The sequence below is a fragment of the Homo sapiens genome, chromosome 17, assembly GCF_000001405.40.
Source record: "Homo sapiens chromosome 17, GRCh38.p14 Primary Assembly".
Classification (NCBI taxonomy): Eukaryota; Metazoa; Chordata; class Mammalia; order Primates; family Hominidae; genus Homo; species Homo sapiens.
This window is the reverse complement of record NC_000017.11, coordinates 19,183,159-19,205,872: the sequence shown is the minus strand read 5'-3', so window position 1 is coordinate 19,205,872 and position 22,714 is coordinate 19,183,159. Positions and strand designations below refer to the sequence as shown.

Below are 22,714 nucleotides of genomic sequence, written 5' to 3'. Positions count from 1 at the left end.
TATGACAGCACCACTGCCCTCAAGCCTGGGCGACAGAGTGAGACCCTGTCTCAAAAAACAAACAGCCAGGAGCCGTGGCTCAGGCCTGTAATCCTAGCACTTTGGGAGGCTGAAGTGGGTGGATCACTCAAGGTCAGGAGTTTGAAACCAGCCTGGCCAACATGGTGAAACCCTGTCTCTACTAAAAAAAATACAAAAAAATTAGCTGGGCGTGGCTTCCGTGGGTTCCCTATCCCATGGAGAACCCACGGGACCAAGCAGGCAACTGCTTTCGTGTATTGCTTCATTGAATCCTCACAACCACCTTGCCTTATAAAAGAGGTGTTGCTATTATCCCCGTTCCACAGAAGGGGAAACTGAGGCACAAAGCAGAAAGGTCACGTGCCTGGAATCACACACCAGAAAGTGGCACAGCTGGGATTTTAACCCATGCCTGCCATGCTAGGACCAGCATCCTAGCAGCCAGGCACCATCCCCCAGCCCAGGCTGACTGCCCGTGCCCAGCTGGACTCCAGGGCTTGGCAGTCCCCAGGATGAAAAGAGGCCCCTCCCTGGGCCCTTCAAGTCACTCTGCCTGGGGGTGACACATGCAGCCACATAGGTCTCCGTGAGTTGCGGTAAGGTCTTGGGTCTCTTTATCCCTGGCATGCGGCGGGGGCACCAAAGTGACCTCAGGGATGCGGAAGTACAGGAGCCAGATTGCCAGCTGTGTGGCTCTGGCAAGTCACCTCCCCTCCCTGAGTCTGTTTCCTCAACTATAAAAAGGGATCAGTAAATGTCTCTTACTCATGGGATTGTGGGGGATTAAATTATTTGATAAATAAATGAATCATTTAGGAAAGTTCCTGGAATATAGAAACACAAGAAGAGGCAGAGGAGGAGGGGGGACAATATTACTATTGATAATATTATCCTGGGAAGCTTTTGCTGCCAGAAGCAGGAGGGACAATTTGCTGGGAAGGAAGACCCTAGGAACCAGTCCTTCCTGTGGACCTGGGACCCAGCACATTGCAGGTAGTTGGAAGGGGCCTCAGACCATCTCTGGAAACTCCATTCTATAGATGATGAGACTGAGGCCTGGGAGAGGCAGCCCCTGGGTCCAGGCTGCTCAGCAGAGCAGGCAGGCTGCCTGGCCCCACCTGGCCCCCTGCCCTCCTTCCATCCAGTCAGTCCCCATCCACCAGTCCCAATCCACCCAGTATCCATCTACCCAGTTCCCATCCACCCAGTCCCCATCCACCAATCCCCATCCACCCAGTCCCCATCCACAAATCCCCATCCACCCAGTCCCCATCTACCAATCCCCATCCACCCAGTCCCCACCCACCCAGTCCCCATCTACCCAGTCCCCATCCACCCAGTCCCCATCCACCAATCCCCATCCACCCAGTCCCCATCCACCCAGTCCCCATCCACCAATCCCCATCCACCCAGTCCCCACCCACCCAGTCCCCATCCACCAATCCCCATCCACCAATCCCCATCCACCCAGTCCCCATCCACCAATCCCTACCCACCCAGTCCCCATCCACCCAGTACCCATCCACCAATCCCCACCCACCCAGTCCCCATCCACCCAGTCCCCATCCACCCAGTACCCATCCACCAATCCCCACCCACCCAGTCCCCATCCACCCAGTACCCATCCACTCAGTCCCCATCCACCCAGTATCCATCTACCCAGTCCCCATCCACTCAGTCCCCATCCACCCACTATCCATCCACCCACTCCCCATCCACCCAGTCCCCATCCACTCAGTACCCATTCACCCAGTCCCCATCCACCCGTTTCCCATGCACCCTCACCCAACCCTGGTCTCCAGTCTCTCAGATTGAGGTCACCTCAGCTTCTCTGCACTGCAGTGGCCAGTGCAGGCAGTGCCCCCAGCCCCCCAGCTTGACCTCTGACCTTCCAGGACTCCAGGTTCCCACTCCAGCAGGTTAACAGTGCCAGTAATTCTGCTATCATTGCGCCTCCATGGGGTGCGGGGAGCAGGCTGTGTGGGCCCTTGGAAGCTCCCTAGGAAAGGATGAACCCCACAGTCCAGGGTCCTCTGCACAACGCTCAGAGCAGGATGGAGGAACATTGGGGGAAGAAGGTGGGCAGGCCCCAGTGTAGGAGACACCAACATCCCCCACCCATATCCTGTTCTGAGGCCAGGAAGAGGCCTGACCTACCCCTCCTCCTCCAGTGAGCCTTTCTTGGCTGACCAGGAGGCAGCTCTGTACAAGGGCTCCAGCCCAGGGCTGTGAGCAAGGGAGACCATGGGCCAGCCCCACCCCTTCTGGGTCTCTTGTTCCCTTCATAACTGGAGGACAGATGGCAGCAGCACTCAGGAAAGGCTCAATGCTGATGCACCCGGGAAGTGCTGTGCTGCACGGGCCCAGTGGCTGGACAGGACTGTGGGAGCCCACCCAGCCCCTTCCTCCCTGTCTTAGTGTGTTTGGTGTTGCTCTAACAGAATACCTGAGACTAGGGCATTTACTTCTTTGTTTGTTTTTTAGACAGGGTCTTGTTCTGTCACCCAGGCTGGAGTGCAGTGGCCCCTTCAGCTCACTGCAGCCTCCACTTCTTGTGCTCAAGTGATCCTTCCACCTTAGCCTCCAGAGTAGCTGGGACTACAAGTGTATGCCACCACACCTGGCTAATTTTTTAAATTTTTGTAGAGATCGCATCTCACTATGTTGCCCAGGCTGGTCTCGAACTTCCTGGCCTCAAGCAATCCTCTCACCTTGGCCTCCCAAAATGCTGGGATACCATGCCTGGGCATAATTAAATTTCGGCAGGAGCACCTCCTTTACGCCTCAATCTGTGCCTCACCAAGGCCAGCGCTGCACGACTCCAGGGGGCCATGCATGTGTCCTGGCCGACCATCCTCCCCTGACCAAGATGCATTCTGAAAAGATCCGGGGGCCGGCTCTGGGCCTTCACACATGCTGTTCTCTCCACCTGGAACACACTTCGCTTTCTCAAACGCCACCTCCCATTTATTTTTCAGCATACAGTTAAAAAATAAACTCCTGGGAAACCTGCCTTTATCCAGCTGGTAAAGTTCTCCTGTAGGTTCCCACAGCACCCGCTGCCTCAGTCTCCTCCCCATCCTGTCGCCCCACCGCCCCACCGCCCCACCGCCCCACTGCCCCACCACCCCACAACCCGCCGCTCTCTCTGTCTCCCCAGGCTCAGCCCTACTGGTGCCTCCTTGCGCCCGGACACGTGTAGACAGCGCCCTCTGCTGGCGACTCTCAGCTAGCCGCTCAGCCTCGCCCGCCTGGGTCCCAGCTCTGCCCCAGGCTCAGGTCCGGGGCCCTGGAGGTCCAAATGAGGCCAGAATCCCGGGAAGAGTCACCCGGAGAGGAGCCTCGGTCTCGGAGCCACAGACCCTGCTCAAATCCCTCTCCTGCCTTCTAATTTTCATGTGGCCTCGAGCAAATCATCTTCCTTCCTTGAGATTCAGTTTCCCCTTCCGCAAAATGTATCCTCCACAACTCTTCCCTGAGTACTTACCGTGTGCTAGATACTGAGTTGGGCACCGGCGATACCGCAGGGACAACGATGAGCAAAGTCACTGCCTCAGGAAGCTGACATAGAGGGGACGGGCAATAAACAATAAACACAACGCGGAATGTCAGTTGTCTATCTAGCACAGGGTGAGTGCTTAAAGAAGTGAAGCCGGACCGGGCGCGGTGGCTCACGCCTGTAATCCCAGCACTTTGGGAGGTCGAGGCGGGCGGATCACCTGAGGTCAGGAGTTTGAGACCAGCCTGACCAACACTGAGAAACCCCGTCTCTACCAAAAATAAAAAATGAGTCAGGTATGGTGGGGCATGTCTGCAATCCCAGCTACTCGGGAGGCTGAGGCAGGAGAGTCACTTGCACCTGGGAGGCAGAGGTTGCAGTGAGCTGAGATCACACCATTGCACTCCAGCCTGGGCAACAAGAGCAAAACTCAGTCTAAAAAAAAAAAAAAGCCGGGCGTGGTGGCTCACGTCTGTCATCCCAGCACTTTGGGAGGCTGAGGCGGGCAGATCACCTGAGGTCAGGAGTTGGAGACCAGCCAGGCCAACACGGTGAAACCCTGTCTCTACTAAAAATACAGAAATTAGCCGGGCATGGTGGTGGGCGCCTGTAGTCCCAGCTACTTGGAAGGCTGAGGCAGGAGAATCGCTTGAACCTGAGAGGCAGAGGTTGCAGTGAGTCGAGATCGGGCCACTGCACTCCAGCCTGGGCGACAGAGCAAGACTTCATCTCAAAAAAAAAAAAAAAAAAAAAAAAAAGGGAAGTGGAGCTGGAGGGGCCAGTGTGTATCCGAGGATGCGAGGGGAGGCCTCATGGGGAGGTGGGAACATCGATGCCCCCGCAGCACGCTGTCATAGCCATGCAAATGGCACGAACGCCCAGCATCCTCCCTCATGTGCTCTCCTTGGGCCACCTCCCAGCTCTCCATCCTACTTACTGTGTTTATCGTCTGCCTGCCCAGGAGAAAGTCGGCCTGTAAGTGCGGGGATTTTTGTCTGTCTACTTCCATGGGTAGCCCCAGCACTGAGAACAGTGCCTTGCACACAGTAGGTGCCCATTGGGTGCTGGTTTATCGATTTTTGCGCTAACCATGGGGCAGGACGGTGCCTCTCACTCAGCCGCCCACTCCTCATGGTGCCTCTCACTCAGCCGCCTGCTCCTCTATCAACTCTTCCAGAGCCAGCACTTGTGATCAAATAGGGGACAGCTGGGAGGCCATAGGAACCTGGAGGAGCCTGACGGACTCTGGGGTGAGTGCTGAGAGGCTTCCTGGAGGAGGCAGTGCATGCTGATGTGAGACTTGAAAAGTGGGAATGACAAGGAGGAAGGGTGTTCAAGGCAGAAGTAACAGCAATGAAAGCTGTGAGGCATGGAGATTCTTCAAGTGATTCAAGGTAGCTGGAGAAGAGAGGGCAGGTGGCAGGGATGACCAGGTCAGAGAAAGACTTGAGGACCAGGCCAAGGGGCTTGGATTTCATTCTGGGGGTTGGAGAGGCACTGTGGCCTAATATGTGAACACATGGGCCCTGAGTGGTGTCCACCTGCTACTCAGGAGGCTGAGGTGAGAGGATCACTTGAGCCCAGGAGTTCGAGGTTGAAGTGAGCCATGATTGTACCACTGCACTCCAGCCTGGGTAACAGAGTGACACCCTGTCTTAAAAATAAAATGAATAGGCCAGGTGCGGTGGCTCACGCCTATAATCCCAGCACTTTGGGAGGCCAAGGCGGGCGGATCACAAGGTCAGGAGATCGAGACCATCCTGGCTAACACAGTGAAATCCCATCTCTACTAAAAATACAAAAAAATTAGCTGGGCATGGTGGCGGGCGCCTGTAGTCCCAGCTACTCGGGAGGCTGAGGCAGGAGAATGGCGTGAACCTGGGAGGCGGAGCTTGCAGTGAGCCGAGATTGCACCGCTGCACTCCAGCCTGGGCGACTAAGCAAGACTCCATCTCAAATAAATAAATAAATAAATAAGTACATTAATTGACGTTTCAAAATTCATTCTATTTTTCTTTTTAATAACACTTTATCTATTTATAGAACAATTTTACATTTTATTAAGCCCCACTTTCTAGGTGTGAATTCTGCTGCTGTTGCTTGCTGGCAATGAGATGTTAAGTTGCTTAGGCTCTCTATGCCTTGGTTTCCCTGTGTGGAAAATGGACTTAAAGATATTTCAGACGGTTGTTGGTAAGAAGTGAGTTAGTACATCTGAAACATGTATCATATCCAGTAGGGGCTTAATTAATGTTAGCTGTGATTATTACATTCCTGTTTATTTTCCTCTACAGTAAGAGGCAATGCGAGTGAATAACTGGAATAACGGCCATCATTAAACTTAGCGTTTACCCGGCTCTTCCTGTCTTGGTTTGAGTTCTCAAATAGGCCGGGCGCGGTGGCTCACGCCTGTAATCCCAGTACTTTGGAAGGCCGAAGCGGATGGATCATGAGGTCAGGAGATCCAGACCGTCCTGGCCAACATAGTGAAAACCTATTTCTACTAAAAAATACAAAAAATTAGCCAGGCGTGGTGGCACACGCCTGTAGTCCCAACTACTCGGGAGGCTGAGGCAGGAGAATTGCTTGAACCCAGGGGGTGGAGGTTGCAGTGAGTCAAGATTGCACCACTACACTCCAGCCTGGGCGACAGGACGAGACTCCGTCTCAAAAAAAAGACCCTGAGACAAGAATTTCGGTACTGGGAGTTTCTTTGGGAGGTAACCCTAGGAGGCACCAGCAGGCATGTGGAGAAGTGAGATCAAGGGGTGAAAGCCAAGAAGGAGCAGGTCACTGCTGCAGGCAGCAGAGGCTCAGTGCTCTTGGGCGAGCACAGCTCGGAAGTGTCCCAACAAGGGCTGGAGAGGGTGGCACTTGTCCTCACTGTTCTTTTGCCCTTCGCCCGGGCTGAGCATTCTCTTGAAGCCAGAGAAAGTCCGCAGGGTTGTTGAATATATCAAATAAAAATACAGGACTCCCAGTTAAATTAGAAAACAATGAATGAATTTTTTTTTTTTTTTTTTGGTATGAGAATGTCCCACGTTATTTGGGGCATACTTACACTAAATAATTTGTCAGGCCAGGCACAGTGGCTCACGCCTGTTATCCTAGCACTTTGGGAGGCTGAGATGGGCAGATCACAAGGTCAGGGGTTCGAGACCAGCCTGGCCAATATGGTGAAACCCCGTCTCTACTAAAAGTATAAAAATTAGCCAGGAGTGGTGGCGCTTGCCTGTAGTCCCAGCTACTTGGGAGGCTCAGGCAGGAGACTTGCTTGAGCCCGGGAGGCGGAGGTAGCAGTGAGCCAAGATCGTGCCACTGCACTCCAGCCAGGGTGACAGAGCCAGACTCCGTCTCAAAAAAATAAAAATAAAAATAATAGTGATAATAATTTTTCACTATTTTTTCAAAACTCAATTTTAACTGGGAATCCTGTTTTTGTTTCTTTGTTTGTTTTGAGACAGAGTCTCGCTGTGTCGCCCAGGCTGGAGTGCAGTGGCGCGATCTCAGTTCACTGAAAGCTCTACCTCCCGGGTTCACACCATTTTTCTGCTTCAGCCTCCCGAGTAGCTGGGACTACAGGCGCCCGCCACCACGCCCGGCTAATTTTTTGTATTTTTAGTAGAGATGGGGTTTCACCGTGTTAGCCAGGATGGTCTCGATCTCCTGACCTCGTGATCCGCCCACCTCGGCCTCCCAAAGTGCTGGGATTACAGGCGTGAGCCACTGCGCCCGGTCATCCTGTGTTTTCGTGATGTGATGCCATAGGCATGGATAGGAAGTATGTGGCTGGCAGTTGCTGCTGGCTGCCAGCTAGAAGCTTAGCTGGAGCTGTTAGCCCAGGGCCTCAGTTCTCCGCATGGGTCTTTCTGTGTTGCTTCTTGGGCTTCCTCACAACGTGGTGGCTCATTTCCAGAAGGAGCATCCCAAATGATAACAATCAGAAGCTGCTAGTCCTCTTGAGGTCTTAACTTGGAAGTCCCAGAACATCGCTTCTGGTGCATTCTAGTGGGGGTGCATTCTAGGGGTGAAAACAGCCACAAGGCCAGGCCAGATGCAAGGGGAGGGGAAATAGGCTTCACCTTTGGATGTGGGGGTGGCGGAGGGCACAGGGCAGGGAGAAGTTCTTGGTGGCCGCCTCAGTAGACAATCAACTACAGTGGGAAGGCAATTTCCTTCTTCATTCACTTTCAGTCTGCTGATTATGCCCAGGTAAAATCTCTGCACAGTGTTAGGGCTTTACGTATTTTGCACACAGTTTTTCCAATTATGGGGTGTGACTGCTTAGTGAGCTATAAAGTTAGTATACTGAATCCAAATTAGTTTTTTTAAAACTTCTTTTTAAGGCCGGGTGCGGTGGCTCACGCCTGTAATCCCAGCACTTTGGGAGGCCGAGGCGGGCGGATCACGAGGTCAGGAGATCAAGACCATCCTGGCTAACACGGTGAAACCCCGTCGCTACTAAAAACACAAAAAATTAGTGGGGCGTGGTCGTGGGCGCCTGTAGTCCCAGCTATTCGGGAGGCTGAGGCAGGAGAATGGCGTGAACCCGGGAGGCGGAGCTTGCAGTGACCCAAGATCGCGCCACTGCACTCCAGCCTGAGCGACAGAGCGAAACTCCGTCTCAAAAAAAAAAAAAAAAAAAACAAAAAAAAAAATACACGACTTCTTTTTAATTTGCAAATTAAATCTGAACATGCACAAAAGTGGAAGGTATGAGCCCTCACTACCGCCACTCAGCCTCGACCCCCACCTGTTTTTATACTTCTTGCCTCTACCCACCTTTGAGTGCTTTAAAAAATAAAACGAAATAGATGGAATAACATACGATAGAAAATATCAGAAAAGGAAGAATGTTACTTTGTGAAAAATTGTGTCTACTGAGTTGGAATATGAAACATGTTTGCAAAACTGTCCTCACACTTTGCTAAAACTCGTTTTTGAACAGAGCACTCATCCTACACAGCCTCTGTGGGGAAGCATCCAACACCATTTAATAACATTGTTTTGTTTTTATCCTATTCACTTTCATTGTTATTGCCTATGAAAGTGACACAAATTTTCCATTTAAGAGTAGCAATAGATAAAGTCCCCCTTTGAGTACATGTATTGACCAGGTGTGGTGGCTCACGCCTGTAATCCCAGGAATTTTGGGAGGCTGAGGCAGGAGGATGGCTTGAGCCCAAAAGTTTAAGACCAGCCTCCGCAACATAGCAAGACCTCGTCTCTGCAAAAAATACATCAATTAGCTGGGAGTGGTGGCACAAGCCTGTAGTCCCAGCTACTTGGGAGGCTGAGGTGGGAGGATTGCTTGAGCCCAGGAGGGGGAGGTTGCAATGAGCCGAGATTGCGGCACTGCACTCCAGCCTGGGGACAGAGCAAGACCCTATCTCAACAAACAAACAAACAAACACGCCCCCCCCCCATCTCTTTATAGAACAATTTTAAGTTTTATTAGGTAGTTATAGTTGAGAGAGGGTGTGGTGAGAACACGAGAGTGGCCTCAGCCCAGTCCCACCAGAGTCTGCGGAGCCGCTGTCTGTCCCTGCTCCTGGCCGGTCTGCGGCAATCCCGTCATTTCTGCCTCGGTCTCTGCGTCTATGGGTACCGGTGCGTGGGTGGGTCAGTCTCTCTCTTGCGTTCTGTGTCTGTGTGGCCCGGACGCTGAGGGGTGTGGAGTGGCCCTGCCACAGGCCGTCCTTAGCACAGCCCCCGGGGGACCCCTCATTCACTTCCGGGACCGGAAGGCGACCTGTAGTTCCAGAAGCCGCCGCAAGAGGGCAGAGGCGGCCATAGGATGGGGCGCGGCCCGCTGGGGGCTGCCTTGAGATGCGGCTAAGAAACCCGGCAGCCCTGGGAGGAACCACACTCCCAGCGCCCCACATGTGGGTTCGAACCTGGGCTCCTCCATTCCTAGGTTAAGGCTCTTAATCCTGCCACCAGTAAAATGGGTTACTGTAAGCTTTAAATAATGTGAATATAAGGTACCTAGTTTGTGAACCTGTTTTTCCCGTTTGCTTGGGGAACTGTGGACCTCCCACAGGGGCTGGGACCTTTTAATAAGTCATACAATTTAAGGAATTTTTATTTCCCTAGTGTCTGGTACTGAAAGCAGTGAGCAAGGGAATGACATGATTAGAAAATGAAATAGAAGGAAAAGGAGGAGGGGGAGTGGAAGAGGAGGGGGAAGAGGAAAAAGAATATGATAAAATGCACTTAAAAAAAAATCCAGGGGCCAGACATGGTGGCTCACACCTGTAATTCCAGCACTTCGGGATGCTGAAGTGGAAGGGATTACTTGAAGCCAGGAGATCAAGACCAGCCTGGGCAACACAATGAAATCCTGTCTCTACAATAAATAAATAAGTAAATAAATAAATAAGTCAGGTATGGTGGCGAGCACCTCTGGTCTCAGCTACTTGGGAGGCTGAGGTGGGAGGTTGACTTGAGCCCAGGAGTTTGAGGCTGCAGTGAGCAGTGATCATGCCACTGCACTCCAGCCTGGATGACAGAGCAAGACTCTTATCTCTGAAAAGATAAACAAACAAACAAACAAACAATCTATTATCCTACCCCTCATCAATAACCACATTGGGTTTTTGGGTTTTCATACGTGAATTTGTGGTCTTTTTCTCACAACAAACTCATACATCCAAATATAAATTTATGAATATTTGCTCACAAACTCAAAGGTGCAAGAAATGTCACACTACTTCATTAAATTAAAAAAAAATTTTAAGTACTTGTTTTATAAACATGCTCAACAGAAAAAATCCAAGCCACTTAGAAAGTATACAGAAAAAAAGCAATAAATCTCCCCCATCTGTGGGGTTTTATATTTCATGAACATCATCATAGAATTCTCTCCACACAGCCTCAATCTATCTATATAAGATGAATGAATGGATGGACAGGCAAGTTTTTTGTTTTCTTGAGACAGGGTCTGGCTTTGTTATCCAGGCTGGGGGGCAGTGGTATGATCTTGGCTCACTGCAACCTCCACCTCCTGGGCTCAAGCCATTTTCCCGCCTCAGCCTCCCAAGTAGCTGGGACTACAGATGCGTGCCACCATGCCTGGCTAATTGTTTTGTATTTTTTGTAGAGACGGGGTTTCACCCTGTTGCCCAAGCTGGTCTTGAACTACTGAGCACAAGAGATCCTCCTAACTTGGCCTCCCAAAGTGCTGGGATTATAGGCGTGAACCACCACGTCCAGCTGACAGGTAAGATTTTTTAAGACTGGGATCATAACCCATGCTATTCTGTTTGTGTGTGAACAGCCAGTGACTTGTCATTATGTACGTATGCCTGTGTGTTTTAAGTGTTTTAAAAAATTAATTAGTAGAGGGCAGGCACAGTGGCTCATGCCTGTAATCCCAGCACTTTGGGAGGCCGAGGTGGACAGATCACCTGAAATCAGGAGTTCAAGACTAACCTGGCCAACACGGTGAAACCCCATCTCTACTAAAAATACAAAAATTAGCCAGGCATGGTGATGCATGTCTGTAATCCCAGCTACTTGGGAGGCTGAGGCAGGAGAATCTCTTGATTCAGTGAGACAAGATCGCACCACTGCACTCCAGCTGGGACACAGAGCAAGACTCCGTCTTTAAAAAAAAAAAAAAAAGAATTAATTAGTAGACTTTTCTGGGAGGAGCGGTTATAGGTTTACAGAAGAATTGAGCACAAAGAACAGAATCCCCATACATCCTCTCTCTCAGACCCCTACACTCATTTCCCCGTTAGTAACATTTTGCATTATAGCGTGATACTTCTGTTACAACTGATGTACCAATATGCATATGGAATTATTAAATAAGGTCCATAGCTCACATTACAGCTCATTCCTGGTGTTGTACATTCTGTGGGTTTGGACAAATGTGTAATGCCGTATCCACCATTGTCATGTCATACAGAGTAGTTTTGTGGCCCTGAAAGTCCCCTGTGCTCTGCCTGTCCATCCCTCCCTCCCCCAACCCCTGCTAACCACTGAGCCTTTTACTGTCTCCATAGTTTTGCTTTTCCAGAAGGTCATGTGTATGGAATCGTACAGTATATGGCCTTTTCACATTGGCTTCTTTTTCTTAGTAATATGCGTTTAAGGTTCTTGAATGTTTTTTCATGGCTTGATAGCTCATTTGTTTTTAGCACTGAATAATATCTAATTCTCTGGATGTACCACAGTTTATTTATCCATTCACCTATGTAGGACTTTTTTTTTTTTTTTTTTGAGGTGGAGTCTCACTCTGTCTCCCAGGCTGCAGTGCAGTAGGGTGACCTCAGCTCACTGCAACCTCTGCCTCCCAGGTTCAAGCGATTCTCCTACCTCAGCCTCCTGAGTAGCTGTGATTACAGGCGTGTGCCACCACACCCAGCTAATTTTTGTTGTTGTTGTTGTTGTTGTTTTCTTTCTTTTTTTTTTTTTTTGAGATGGAGTTTCGCTCTGTCGCCCAGGCTGGAGTGCAGTGGCGCGATCTCGGCTCACTGCAAGCTCTGCCTCCCGGGTTCACACCATTCTCCTGCCTCAGCCTCCTGAGTAGCTGGGACTACAGGCACCCGCCACCACGCACGGCTTATTTTTTGTATTTTTTTTTTTTTTTTTTTTTTTTTTAGTAGAGACGGCGTTTCACCATGTTAGCCGGGATGATCTCGATCTCCTGACCTCGTGATCTGCCCGCCTCAGCCTCCCAAAGTGCTGGGATTGCAGGCGGGAGCCACTGCGCCCAGTGTAATTTTTGTATTTTTAGTAGAGATGGGGTTTTGCCATGTTGGCCAGGCTGGTCTTGAGCTCCTGATCTCAGGAGATCCACCTGCCTTGGCCTCTCAAAGTGAAGACATATTTTTTATTTTATTTTATTTTATTTTATTTTATTTTATTAGAGACAGGGGTCTCCCTCTGTTGCCCAGGCAGCTCCTAAACCCCTGATCTCAAGTGACTGTCTGCCTCAGCTGCCCAAGTAGCAGGGATTACAGTCACAAGCCACCGCCCCCGGCTCTGTTTAGGAACATCTTAGTTCCAAGTTTTGGCAATTATGGGTAAAGCTGCTATAAACATATGTGTGCAGGCTTGTGCGGACATACGTTTTCAAATCATTTGGGTAGACACCAAGAGCTGCATTCCAGCCTGGGCAACAAGAGCGAAACTCCGTCTCAAAAAAAAAAAAAAAAAAAAAAAAAAAACCAGAAATGTAGGCCGGGCATGGCGGCTTGCACCTATAATCCCAGAACTTTGGGAGGCCAAGGCAGGCAGATCACTTGAGGTCAGGAGTTCAAGACCAGCCTGTCCAACATGGCGAAACCCCGTCTCTACTAAAAATACAAATATTAGCCAGGCGTGGTGGCGCATGCCTGTAATCCCAGCTACTCAGGAGGCCGAGGCACGTGACTCACTTGAACTCAGGAGGCAGAGGTTGCAGTGAGCCCAGATCGTGCCACTGCACTCCAGCCTGGGTGATGAAGTGAAACTCTGTCAAAACAGAAATTATTCTCTCGCAGTTATGAAGTCTCAAAGGGGGATCCTTCCTTGGCTCCTCCGGCGTCTGGAGGCTACTGGCCATCCTGGTGTTACTCAAACACCAGGGGTTCCATCTAGGGCCTGCCACTCACCTCACAGAAAGCCAATCAGTGAGACAACGATTCTTGCCAAGGAAGAAGGCTTTAATCAGGTGCTGCAGCTGAGGGGATGGGAGGGCTTCATCCCAGGAATGCAGGGGGTGGTTCAACATAAGAAAATCCGTTAACGTAATGTACCGCATTAGTAGAACAAAGGGAAAAAAACAGTCATTCCAGCTGACACAGAAAAAGCATCTAAGAAATTCTAACATTTCATCATTAAAACATAGAGAAAACTATGAAACGAGGGGATCTGCCTCAACATTATAAAAGGTATTTGTGAAAAAACCACAGTTACCATCATACTTAGTGGTGAAAGACTAAAAGCTTTCCCCCTAAGTTCAGGAACAAGACACAGAGGTTCACCTTTACCACTGCTACTCAATGTTTTTTTTTTTTGTTTTGTTGGTTTTGTTGTGTTTTCGAGAAGGAGTCTTGCTCTGTCGCCCAGGCTGGAATGCAGTGGCGTGATCTCGGCTCACTGCAGCCTCTGCCCCCGGGGTTCAAGCAATTCTCCTGCCTCAGCCTCCCCAGTAGCTGGGACTACAGGTGCGCACTGCCACGCCTGGCTAATTTTTGTATTCTTAGTAGAGACAGGGTTTCACCATGTTGGCCAGGATGCTCTTGAGCTCCTGACCTTGTTATCTGCCTGCCTCGGCCTCCCAAAATGCTGGAATTACAGATGTGAGCCACCGCGCCTGGCCTAGTCAACATTTTGCTAGAAGTTGTAGCCAGAGCCTTTAGGTAAGAAAAGGCACCAAATTGAGAAATAAGAAATAAAACCATCGCTTTAAATAGGGAAAATCCCAAAGAATACACGCACAATAATTACTAGAGCTAATAAGCAAATGCAGCAAAGTTTCAGGACACAAGATCAACTCACAAAAACCAGTTGTGTGGTTTCCTGTTTGTTTTTTTGAGGAGTTATGCTCTTATCGCCCAGGCCGGAGTGCAATGGCGTGATCTTGGCTCACTGCAGCCTCTGCCTCCCGGGTTCAAGCAATTCTCCTGCCTCAGCCTCCCCAGTAGCTGGGATTACAGGCGCAGGCCACCACGCCCGGCCAGTTTTTGTATTTTTAGTAGAGACGAGGTTTCACCACGTTGGCCAGGATGGTCTTGATCTCCTGACCTGGTGATCCACCCGCCTCGGCCTCCCAAAGTGCTAGGATGACAGGCGTGAGCCACCGTGCCCGGTCCAGTTGTGTTTTTATGCACTGGCAAGGAACAATTCAAAAATGTAATTAAGAAAACCGCTGGGCGTGGTGGCTCACGCCTGTAGTCCCAGCACTTTGAGCGGCCGAGGCGGGTGGATCCCTTGATCCCAGGAGTTCAAGACCATCCTGGGCAATGTGGTGAAACCCCCTCCCTACAAAAAATACAAAAAATTAGCGGAGCGTGATGGCATGTGCCTACGATCCCAGCTACTCAGGAGGCTGACGTGGGAGGATCACCCGAGCCCTGGGGGTCAAGGCTGCAGTGAGCTGTCACATCATGCATCATTGCACTCCAGCCTGAAAAAGGAGTGAAATTCTGCAACATGTTACAACGTGAATGAACCTTGAAAACGTCATTCTAAGTGAAATAAGCCAGATACAAAAGGACAATATTGCATGTTTCCACTTATAGAGATACCTACAAGAATCAAATTCATAGAGACGGAAAGTAGAATAGTGGTTAAAGGGGTCTGGGCGGAGGGAGGAAAGGGAAGTTTGTTTTACGGGTAGAGTTTCAGTTTGGGATGTCGAAAAAGTTCTGGAGATAAATAATGGTGATGGTTACATGCCAATGGCTACACGAATGTACTTAATGCCACTGAATTGTATATGTGAAAAATGGTTAAAATGGTAAATTTTGTATCTATTTAATACCATCCCCCCTAAAAAAAAAATTGTTTTTAAGAGTCAAGATCTCACTCTGTCTCCCAGGCTGGGGTGCAGTGGGGTAACTGATCAGAGCTCACTGCAGCTTTGAACTCAGCCAGCTTCCCTGACTCAAACGATCATCCCGCTTCAGCCTCCCGAGTAGCTGGGACTACAGACGGTGCCATCACGCCCAGCTCATTGTTGATTCCCGCCCCCTTGGTAGAGACGGGATTCCGCTATATTGCCTGGGCTGGTGTCGAACTCATAGAACAAAGGATCCTCCCTCCTGGGCCTGGGCGTGGGCTCGCAAAACGCTGGGATTCCCGGATTACAGGCGGGCGCACCACACCAGGAGCAAACACTTCCGGTTTTAAAAATTCAGTTTGTGATTGGCTGTCATTCAGTATTATGCTAATTAAGCATGCCCGGTTTTAAACCTCTTAAAACAACTTTTAAAATTACCTTTCCACCTAAAACGTTAAAATTTGTCAAGTGATAATATTCGACAAGCTGTTATTGCCAAACTATTTTCCTATTTGTTTCCTAATGGCATCGGAACTAGCGAAAGTTTCTCGCCATCAGTTAAAAGTTTGCGGCAGATGTAGACCTAGCAGAGGTGTGCAAGGAGGCCGTTAAGACTATACTTTCAGGGATCATTTCTATAGTGTGTTACTAGAGAAGTTTCTCTGAACGTGTAGAGCACCGAAAACCACGAGGAAGAGAGGTAGCGTTTTCTCCTGAACGTGAAGCCGGCTTTCTGGCGTTGCTTGGCTGCAACTGCCGTCAGCCATTGATGATCGTTCTTCTCTCCGTATTGGGGAGTGAGAGGGAGAGAACGCGGTCTGAGTGGTTTTTCCTTCTTGATGGCTCAATGACAGAGACTAGCTCGTAAACTCCGGGGCGTTTCTGGGCTGTTCGCTCCTGCTTGGCATGTCGCGAGAAAGGTTTTCGCCTCCTGTTTCAGCGGTGACGGCTCTTGGGTTTTCTCGGGGTGGCTTTTTAATTTTAGTCTTGGCGCGAGGCGGGGGATGCTGTGTGGCACCTCCTATTGTCTCTTTTTGCGTTTTCTCCCATTCTCGCTCCCTCTTTTGTCGCCGTTTCCCGCCCGCCACTCCCACCCCCAGACGGGGTCTCCGGGTCTCTTGTTCTGTCTGCCGGCCCCGGCTGGATTGCAGTGGCGCGATCTCGGCTCCTAGCAACATCTGCCTCCCGGGCTCAAGCGAGTCTCCCGCCTAAGCCCTCCCGAGTAGCCGGGGCTTAAAGGCGCACACGCCACTCCAGGCTTTTTTTTTTTTTTTTTTTTTTTTTTTGGCAGAAACGGGGTGTCAGCATGTTAGCCAGGCTGGTCTCCAACGCGTGATCTCAGGTGATCCGCCGGCCTCGGCCTCCCGAAGTTCTGGGATTACAGGCGTGAGCCACTGCACCCGGCCCTTCTATTTTTTTAAATAGCGACGGGGTTTCACCATGTTGGCCAGGCTGCTCCTGAACACCTGAGTTCAGGTGATCCGCCCGCCTCGGCCTCCCGAAGTTCTGCGATTACAGGCGTGCCACCCGCACCCGGCCCTAAAAGTACTTTTTATAGAGATGGGGTCTCACTCTGTTGCCCAGACTGGTCTCAAACTGCTTATCTCAAGTGACTGACTGTCTGCCTCAGCTGCCCAAGTAGCAGGGATTACAGACACAAGCCACAGCCGCTGGCTCTATTCAGGAACATCTTAGTTCCAAGTTTTGGCAATTATGGATAAAGCTGCTATAAACAGGTGTGCAGGTTTTTGTGTGGACATTTTCAACTCATTTGGGTAGACACCAAGAGGCACGAGTTCTGATCATACCGAAAGTGTTTAGTTTCAGAAGAAGCTGCTTTTCTTGGGCTCCATAACAAAATACACAGACTTTGTGGCTTAAATAACACAAATTTATTTCTTACAGTTCTCAGTCGGGCGCGGTGGCTCACTCCTGTAATCCCAGAACTTCGGGAGGCCGAGGCGGGCGGATCACCTGAACTCAGGTGTTCAGGAGCAGCCTGGCCAACATGGTGAAACCCCGTCGCTATTTAAAAAAATAGAAGGGCCGGGTGCAGTGGCTCACGCCTGTAATCCCAGAACTTCGGGAGGCCGAGGCGGGCGGATCACCTGAGATCACGCGTTGGAGACCAGCCTGGCTAACATGCTGACACCCCGTTTCTGCCAAAAAAAAAAAAAAAAAAAAAAAAAAAGCCTGGAGTGGCGTGTGCGCCTTTAAGCCCCGGCTACTCGGGAGGGCTTAGGCGGGAGACTCGCTTGAGCCCGGGAGGCAGATGTTGCTAGGAGCCGAGATCGCGCCACTGCAATCCAGCCGGGGCCGGCAGACAGAACAAGAGACCCGGAGACCCCGTCTGGGGGTGGGAGTGGCGGGCGGGAAACGGCGACAAAAGAGGGAGCGAGAATGGGAGAAAACGCAAAAAGAGACAATAGGAGGTGCCACACAGCATCCCCCGCCTCGCGCCAAGACTAAAATTAAAAAGCCACCCCGAGAAAACCCAAGAGCCGTCACCGCTGAAACAGGAGGCGAAAACCTTTCTCGCGACATGCCAAGCAGGAGCGAACAGCCCAGAAACGCCCCGGAGTTTACGAGCTAGTCTCTGTCATTGAGCCATCAAGAAGGAAAAACCACTCAGACCGCGTTCTCTCCCTCTCACTCCCCAATACGGAGAGAAGAACGATCATCAATGGCTGACGGCAGTTGCAGCCAAGCAACGCCAGAAAGCCGGCTTCACGCTCAGGAGAAAACGCTACCTCTCTTCCTCGTGGTTTTCGGTGCTCTACACGTTCAGAGAAACTTCTCTAGTAACACACTATAGAAATGATCCCTGAAAGTATAGTCTTAACGGCCTCCTTGCACACCTCTGCTAGGTCTACATCTGCCGCAAACTTTTAACTGATGGCGAGAAACTTTCGCTAGTTCCGATGCCATTAGGAAACAAATAGGAAAATAGTTTGGCAATAACAGCTTGTCGAATATTATCACTTGACAAATTTTAACGTTTTAGGTGGAAAGGTAATTTTAAAAGTTGTTTTAAGAGGTTTAAAACCGGGCATGCTTAATTAGCATAATACTGAATGACAGCCAATCACAAACTGAATTTTTAAAACCGGAAGTGTTTGCTCCTGGTGTGGTGCGCCCGCCTGTAATCCGGGAATCCCAGCGTTTTGCGAGCCCACGCCCAGGCCCAGGAGGGAGGATCCTTTGTTCTATGAGTTCGACACCAGCCCAGGCAATATAGCGGAATCCCGTCTCTACCAAGGGGGCGGGAATCAACAATGAGCTGGGCGTGATGGCACCGTCTGTAGTCCCAGCTACTCGGGAGGCTGAAGCGGGATGATCGTTTGAGTCAGGGAAGCTGGCTGAGTTCAAAGCTGCAGTGAGCTCTGATCAGTTACCCCACTGCACCCCAGCCTGGGAGACAGAGTGAGATCTTGACTCTTAAAAACAATTTTTTTTTTAGGGGGGATGGTATTAAATAGATACAAAATTTACCATTTTAACCATTTTTCACATATACAATTCAGTGGCATTAAGTACATTCGTGTAGCCATTGGCATGTAACCATCACCATTATTTATCTCCAGAACTTTTTCGACATCCCAAACTGAAACTCTACCCGTAAAACAAACTTCCCTTTCCTCCCTCCGCCCAGACCCCTTTAACCACTATTCTACTTTCCGTCTCTATGAATTTGATTCTTGTAGGTATCTCTATAAGTGGAAACATGCAATATTGTCCTTTTGTATCTGGCTTATTTCACTTAGAATGACGTTTTCAAGGTTCATTCACGTTGTAACATGTTGCAGAATTTCACTCCTTTTTCAGGCTGGAGTGCAATGATGCATGATGTGACAGCTCACTGCAGCCTTGACCCCCAGGGCTCGGGTGATCCTCCCACGTCAGCCTCCTGAGTAGCTGGGATCGTAGGCACATGCCATCACGCTCCGCTAATTTTTTGTATTTTTTGTAGGGAGGGGGTTTCACCACATTGCCCAGGATGGTCTTGAACTCCTGGGATCAAGGGATCCACCCGCCTCGGCCGCTCAAAGTGCTGGGACTACAGGCGTGAGCCACCACGCCCAGCGGTTTTCTTAATTACATTTTTGAATTGTTCCTTGCCAGTGCATAAAAACACAACTGGACCGGGCACGGTGGCTCACGCCTGTCATCCTAGCACTTTGGGAGGCCGAGGCGGGTGGATCACCAGGTCAGGAGATCAAGACCATCCTGGCCAACGTGGTGAAACCTCGTCTCTACTAAAAATACAAAAACTGGCCGGGCGTGGTGGCCTGCGCCTGTAATCCCAGCTACTGGGGAGGCTGAGGCAGGAGAATTGCTTGAACCCGGGAGGCAGAGGCTGCAGTGAGCCAAGATCACGCCATTGCACTCCGGCCTGGGCGATAAGAGCATAACTCCTCAAAAAAACAAACAGGAAACCACACAACTGGTTTTTGTGAGTTGATCTTGTGTCCTGAAACTTTGCTGCATTTGCTTATTAGCTCTAGTAATTATTGTGCGTGTATTCTTTGGGATTTTCCCTATTTAAAGCGATGGTTTTATTTCTTATTTCTCAATTTGGTGCCTTTTCTTACCTAAAGGCTCTGGCTACAACTTCTAGCAAAATGTTGACTAGGCCAGGCGCGGTGGCTCACATCTGTAATTCCAGCATTTTGGGAGGCCGAGGCAGGCAGATAACAAGGTCAGGAGCTCAAGAGCATCCTGGCCAACATGGTGAAACCCTGTCTCTACTAAGAATACAAAAATTAGCCAGGCGTGGCAGTGCGCACCTGTAGTCCCAGCTACTGGGGAGGCTGAGGCAGGAGAATTGCTTGAACCCCGGGGGCAGAGGCTGCAGTGAGCCGAGATCACGCCACTGCATTCCAGCCTGGGCGACAGAGCAAGACTCCTTCTCGAAAACACAACAAAACCAACAAAACAAAAAAAAAAAACATTGAGTAGCAGTGGTAAAGGTGAACCTCTGTGTCTTGTTCCTGAACTTAGGGGGAAAGCTTTTAGTCTTTCACCACTAAGTATGATGGTAACTGTGGTTTTTTCACAAATACCTTTTATAATGTTGAGGCAGATCCCCTCGTTTCATAGTTTTCTCTATGTTTTAATGATGAAATGTTAGAATTTCTTAGATGCTTTTTCTGTGTCAGCTGGAATGACTGTTTTTTTCCCTTTGTTCTACTAATGCGGTACATTACGTTAACGGATTTTCTTATGTTGAACCACCCCCTGCATTCCTGGGATGAAGCCCTCCCATCCCCTCAGCTGCAGCACCTGATTAAAGCCTTCTTCCTTGGCAAGAATCGTTGTCTCACTGATTGGCTTTCTGTGAGGTGAGTGGCAGGCCCTAGATGGAACCCCTGGTGTTTGAGTAACACCAGGATGGCCAGTAGCCTCCAGACGCCGGAGGAGCCAAGGAAGGATCCCCCTTTGAGACTTCATAACTGCGAGAGAATAATTTCTGTTTTGACAGAGTTTCACTTCATCACCCAGGCTGGAGTGCAGTGGCACGATCTGGGCTCACTGCAACCTCTGCCTCCTGAGTTCAAGTGAGTCACGTGCCTCGGCCTCCTGAGTAGCTGGGATTACAGGCATGCGCCACCACGCCTGGCTAATATTTGTATTTTTAGTAGAGACGGGGTTTCGCCATGTTGGACAGGCTGGTCTTGAACTCCTGACCTCAAGTGATCTGCCTGCCTTGGCCTCCCAAAGTTCTGGGATTATAGGTGCAAGCCGCCATGCCCGGCCTACATTTCTGGTTTTTTTTTTTTTTTTTTTTTTTTTTTTGAGACGGAGTTTCGCTCTTGTTGCCCAGGCTGGAATGCAGCTCTTGGTGTCTACCCAAATGATTTGAAAACGTATGTCCGCACAAGCCTGCACACATATGTTTATAGCAGCTTTACCCATAATTGCCAAAACTTGGAACTAAGATGTTCCTAAACAGAGCCGGGGGCGGTGGCTTGTGACTGTAATCCCTGCTACTTGGGCAGCTGAGGCAGACAGTCACTTGAGATCAGGGGTTTAGGAGCTGCCTGGGCAACAGAGGGAGACCCCTGTCTCTAATAAAATAAAATAAAATAAAATAAAATAAAATAAAAAATATGTCTTCACTTTGAGAGGCCAAGGCAGGTGGATCTCCTGAGATCAGGAGCTCAAGACCAGCCTGGCCAACATGGCAAAACCCCATCTCTACTAAAAATACAAAAATTACACTGGGCGCAGTGGCTCCCGCCTGCAATCCCAGCACTTTGGGAGGCTGAGGCGGGCAGATCACGAGGTCAGGAGATCGAGATCATCCCGGCTAACATGGTGAAACGCCGTCTCTACTAAAAAAAAAAAAAAAAAAAAAAAAAATACAAAAAATAAGCCGTGCGTGGTGGCGGGTGCCTGTAGTCCCAGCTACTCAGGAGGCTGAGGCAGGAGAATGGTGTGAACCCGGGAGGCAGAGCTTGCAGTGAGCCGAGATCGCGCCACTGCACTCCAGCCTGGGCGACAGAGCGAAACTCCATCTCAAAAAAAAAAAAAAAGAAAGAAAACAACAACAACAACAACAACAAAAATTAGCTGGGTGTGGTGGCACACGCCTGTAATCACAGCTACTCAGGAGGCTGAGGTAGGAGAATCGCTTGAACCTGGGAGGCAGAGGTTGCAGTGAGCTGAGGTCACCCTACTGCACTGCAGCCTGGGAGACAGAGTGAGACTCCACCTCAAAAAAAAAAAAAAAAAAGTCCTACATAGGTGAATGGATAAATAAACTGTGGTACATCCAGAGAATTAGATATTATTCAGTGCTAAAAACAAATGAGCTATCAAGCCATGAAAAAACATTCAAGAACCTTAAACGCATATTACTAAGAAAAAGAAGCCAATGTGAAAAGGCCATATACTGTACGATTCCATACACATGACCTTCTGGAAAAGCAAAACTATGGAGACAGTAAAAGGCTCAGTGGTTAGCAGGGGTTGGGGGAGGGAGGGATGGACAGGCAGAGCACAGGGGACTTTCAGGGCCACAAAACTACTCTGTATGACATGACAATGGTGGATACGGCATTACACATTTGTCCAAACCCACAGAATGTACAACACCAGGAATGAGCTGTAATGTGAGCTATGGACCTTATTTAATAATTCCATATGCATATTGGTACATCAGTTGTAACAGAAGTATCACGCTATAATGCAAAATGTTACTAACGGGGAAATGAGTGTAGGGGTCTGAGAGAGAGGATGTATGGGGATTCTGTTCTTTGTGCTCAATTCTTCTGTAAACCTATAACCGCTCCTCCCAGAAAAGTCTACTAATTAATTCTTTTTTTTTTTTTTTTAAAGACGGAGTCTTGCTCTGTGTCCCAGCTGGAGTGCAGTGGTGCGATCTTGTCTCACTGAATCAAGAGATTCTCCTGCCTCAGCCTCCCAAGTAGCTGGGATTACAGACATGCATCACCATGCCTGGCTAATTTTTGTATTTTTAGTAGAGATGGGGTTTCACCGTGTTGGCCAGGTTAGTCTTGAACTCCTGATTTCAGGTGATCTGTCCACCTCGGCCTCCCAAAGTGCTGGGATTACAGGCATGAGCCACTGTGCCTGCCCTCTACTAATTAATTTTTTAAAACACTTAAAACACACAGGCATACGTACATAATGACAAGTCACTGGCTGTTCACACACAAACAGAATAGCATGGG

At 49.6% G+C, this 22,714-nt stretch overlaps 2 non-coding genes across 2 annotated transcripts, besides 3 other annotated features; one reads left to right on the top strand and one right to left on the bottom strand.

Annotated features, from left to right (window-relative positions):
- Positions 15,106-15,699: an enhancer, noted in NCBI's record as "OCT4-NANOG-H3K27ac hESC enhancer chr17:19093487-19094080 (GRCh37/hg19 assembly coordinates)". NCBI's record gives its function as "activates a minimal SCP1, AML or CMV promoter by ChIP-STARR-seq in naive H9 embryonic stem cells {active_cell/tissue: H9 hESC(naive)}" and the evidence as "EXISTENCE:reporter gene assay evidence [ECO:0000049][PMID:30033119]".
- SNORD3C (small nucleolar RNA, C/D box 3C) lies at positions 15,628-15,844 on the top strand. The gene has a single exon (NR_006881.1). It is a non-coding gene; the product is annotated as a small nucleolar RNA, C/D box 3C (small nucleolar RNA).
- Positions 15,700-16,294: an enhancer, noted in NCBI's record as "OCT4-NANOG-H3K27ac-H3K4me1 hESC enhancer chr17:19092892-19093486 (GRCh37/hg19 assembly coordinates)". NCBI's record gives its function as "activates a minimal SCP1, AML or CMV promoter by ChIP-STARR-seq in naive H9 embryonic stem cells {active_cell/tissue: H9 hESC(naive)}" and the evidence as "EXISTENCE:reporter gene assay evidence [ECO:0000049][PMID:30033119]".
- Positions 17,641-17,857, bottom strand: SNORD3A (small nucleolar RNA, C/D box 3A). The gene has a single exon (NR_006880.1). It is a non-coding gene; the product is annotated as a small nucleolar RNA, C/D box 3A (small nucleolar RNA).
- Positions 17,684-17,843: a silencer, noted in NCBI's record as "silent region_8284". NCBI's record gives its function as "represses an Ori minimal core promoter by ATAC-STARR-seq in GM12878 lymphoblastoid cells {active_cell/tissue: GM12878}" and the evidence as "EXISTENCE:reporter gene assay evidence [ECO:0000049][PMID:35858748]".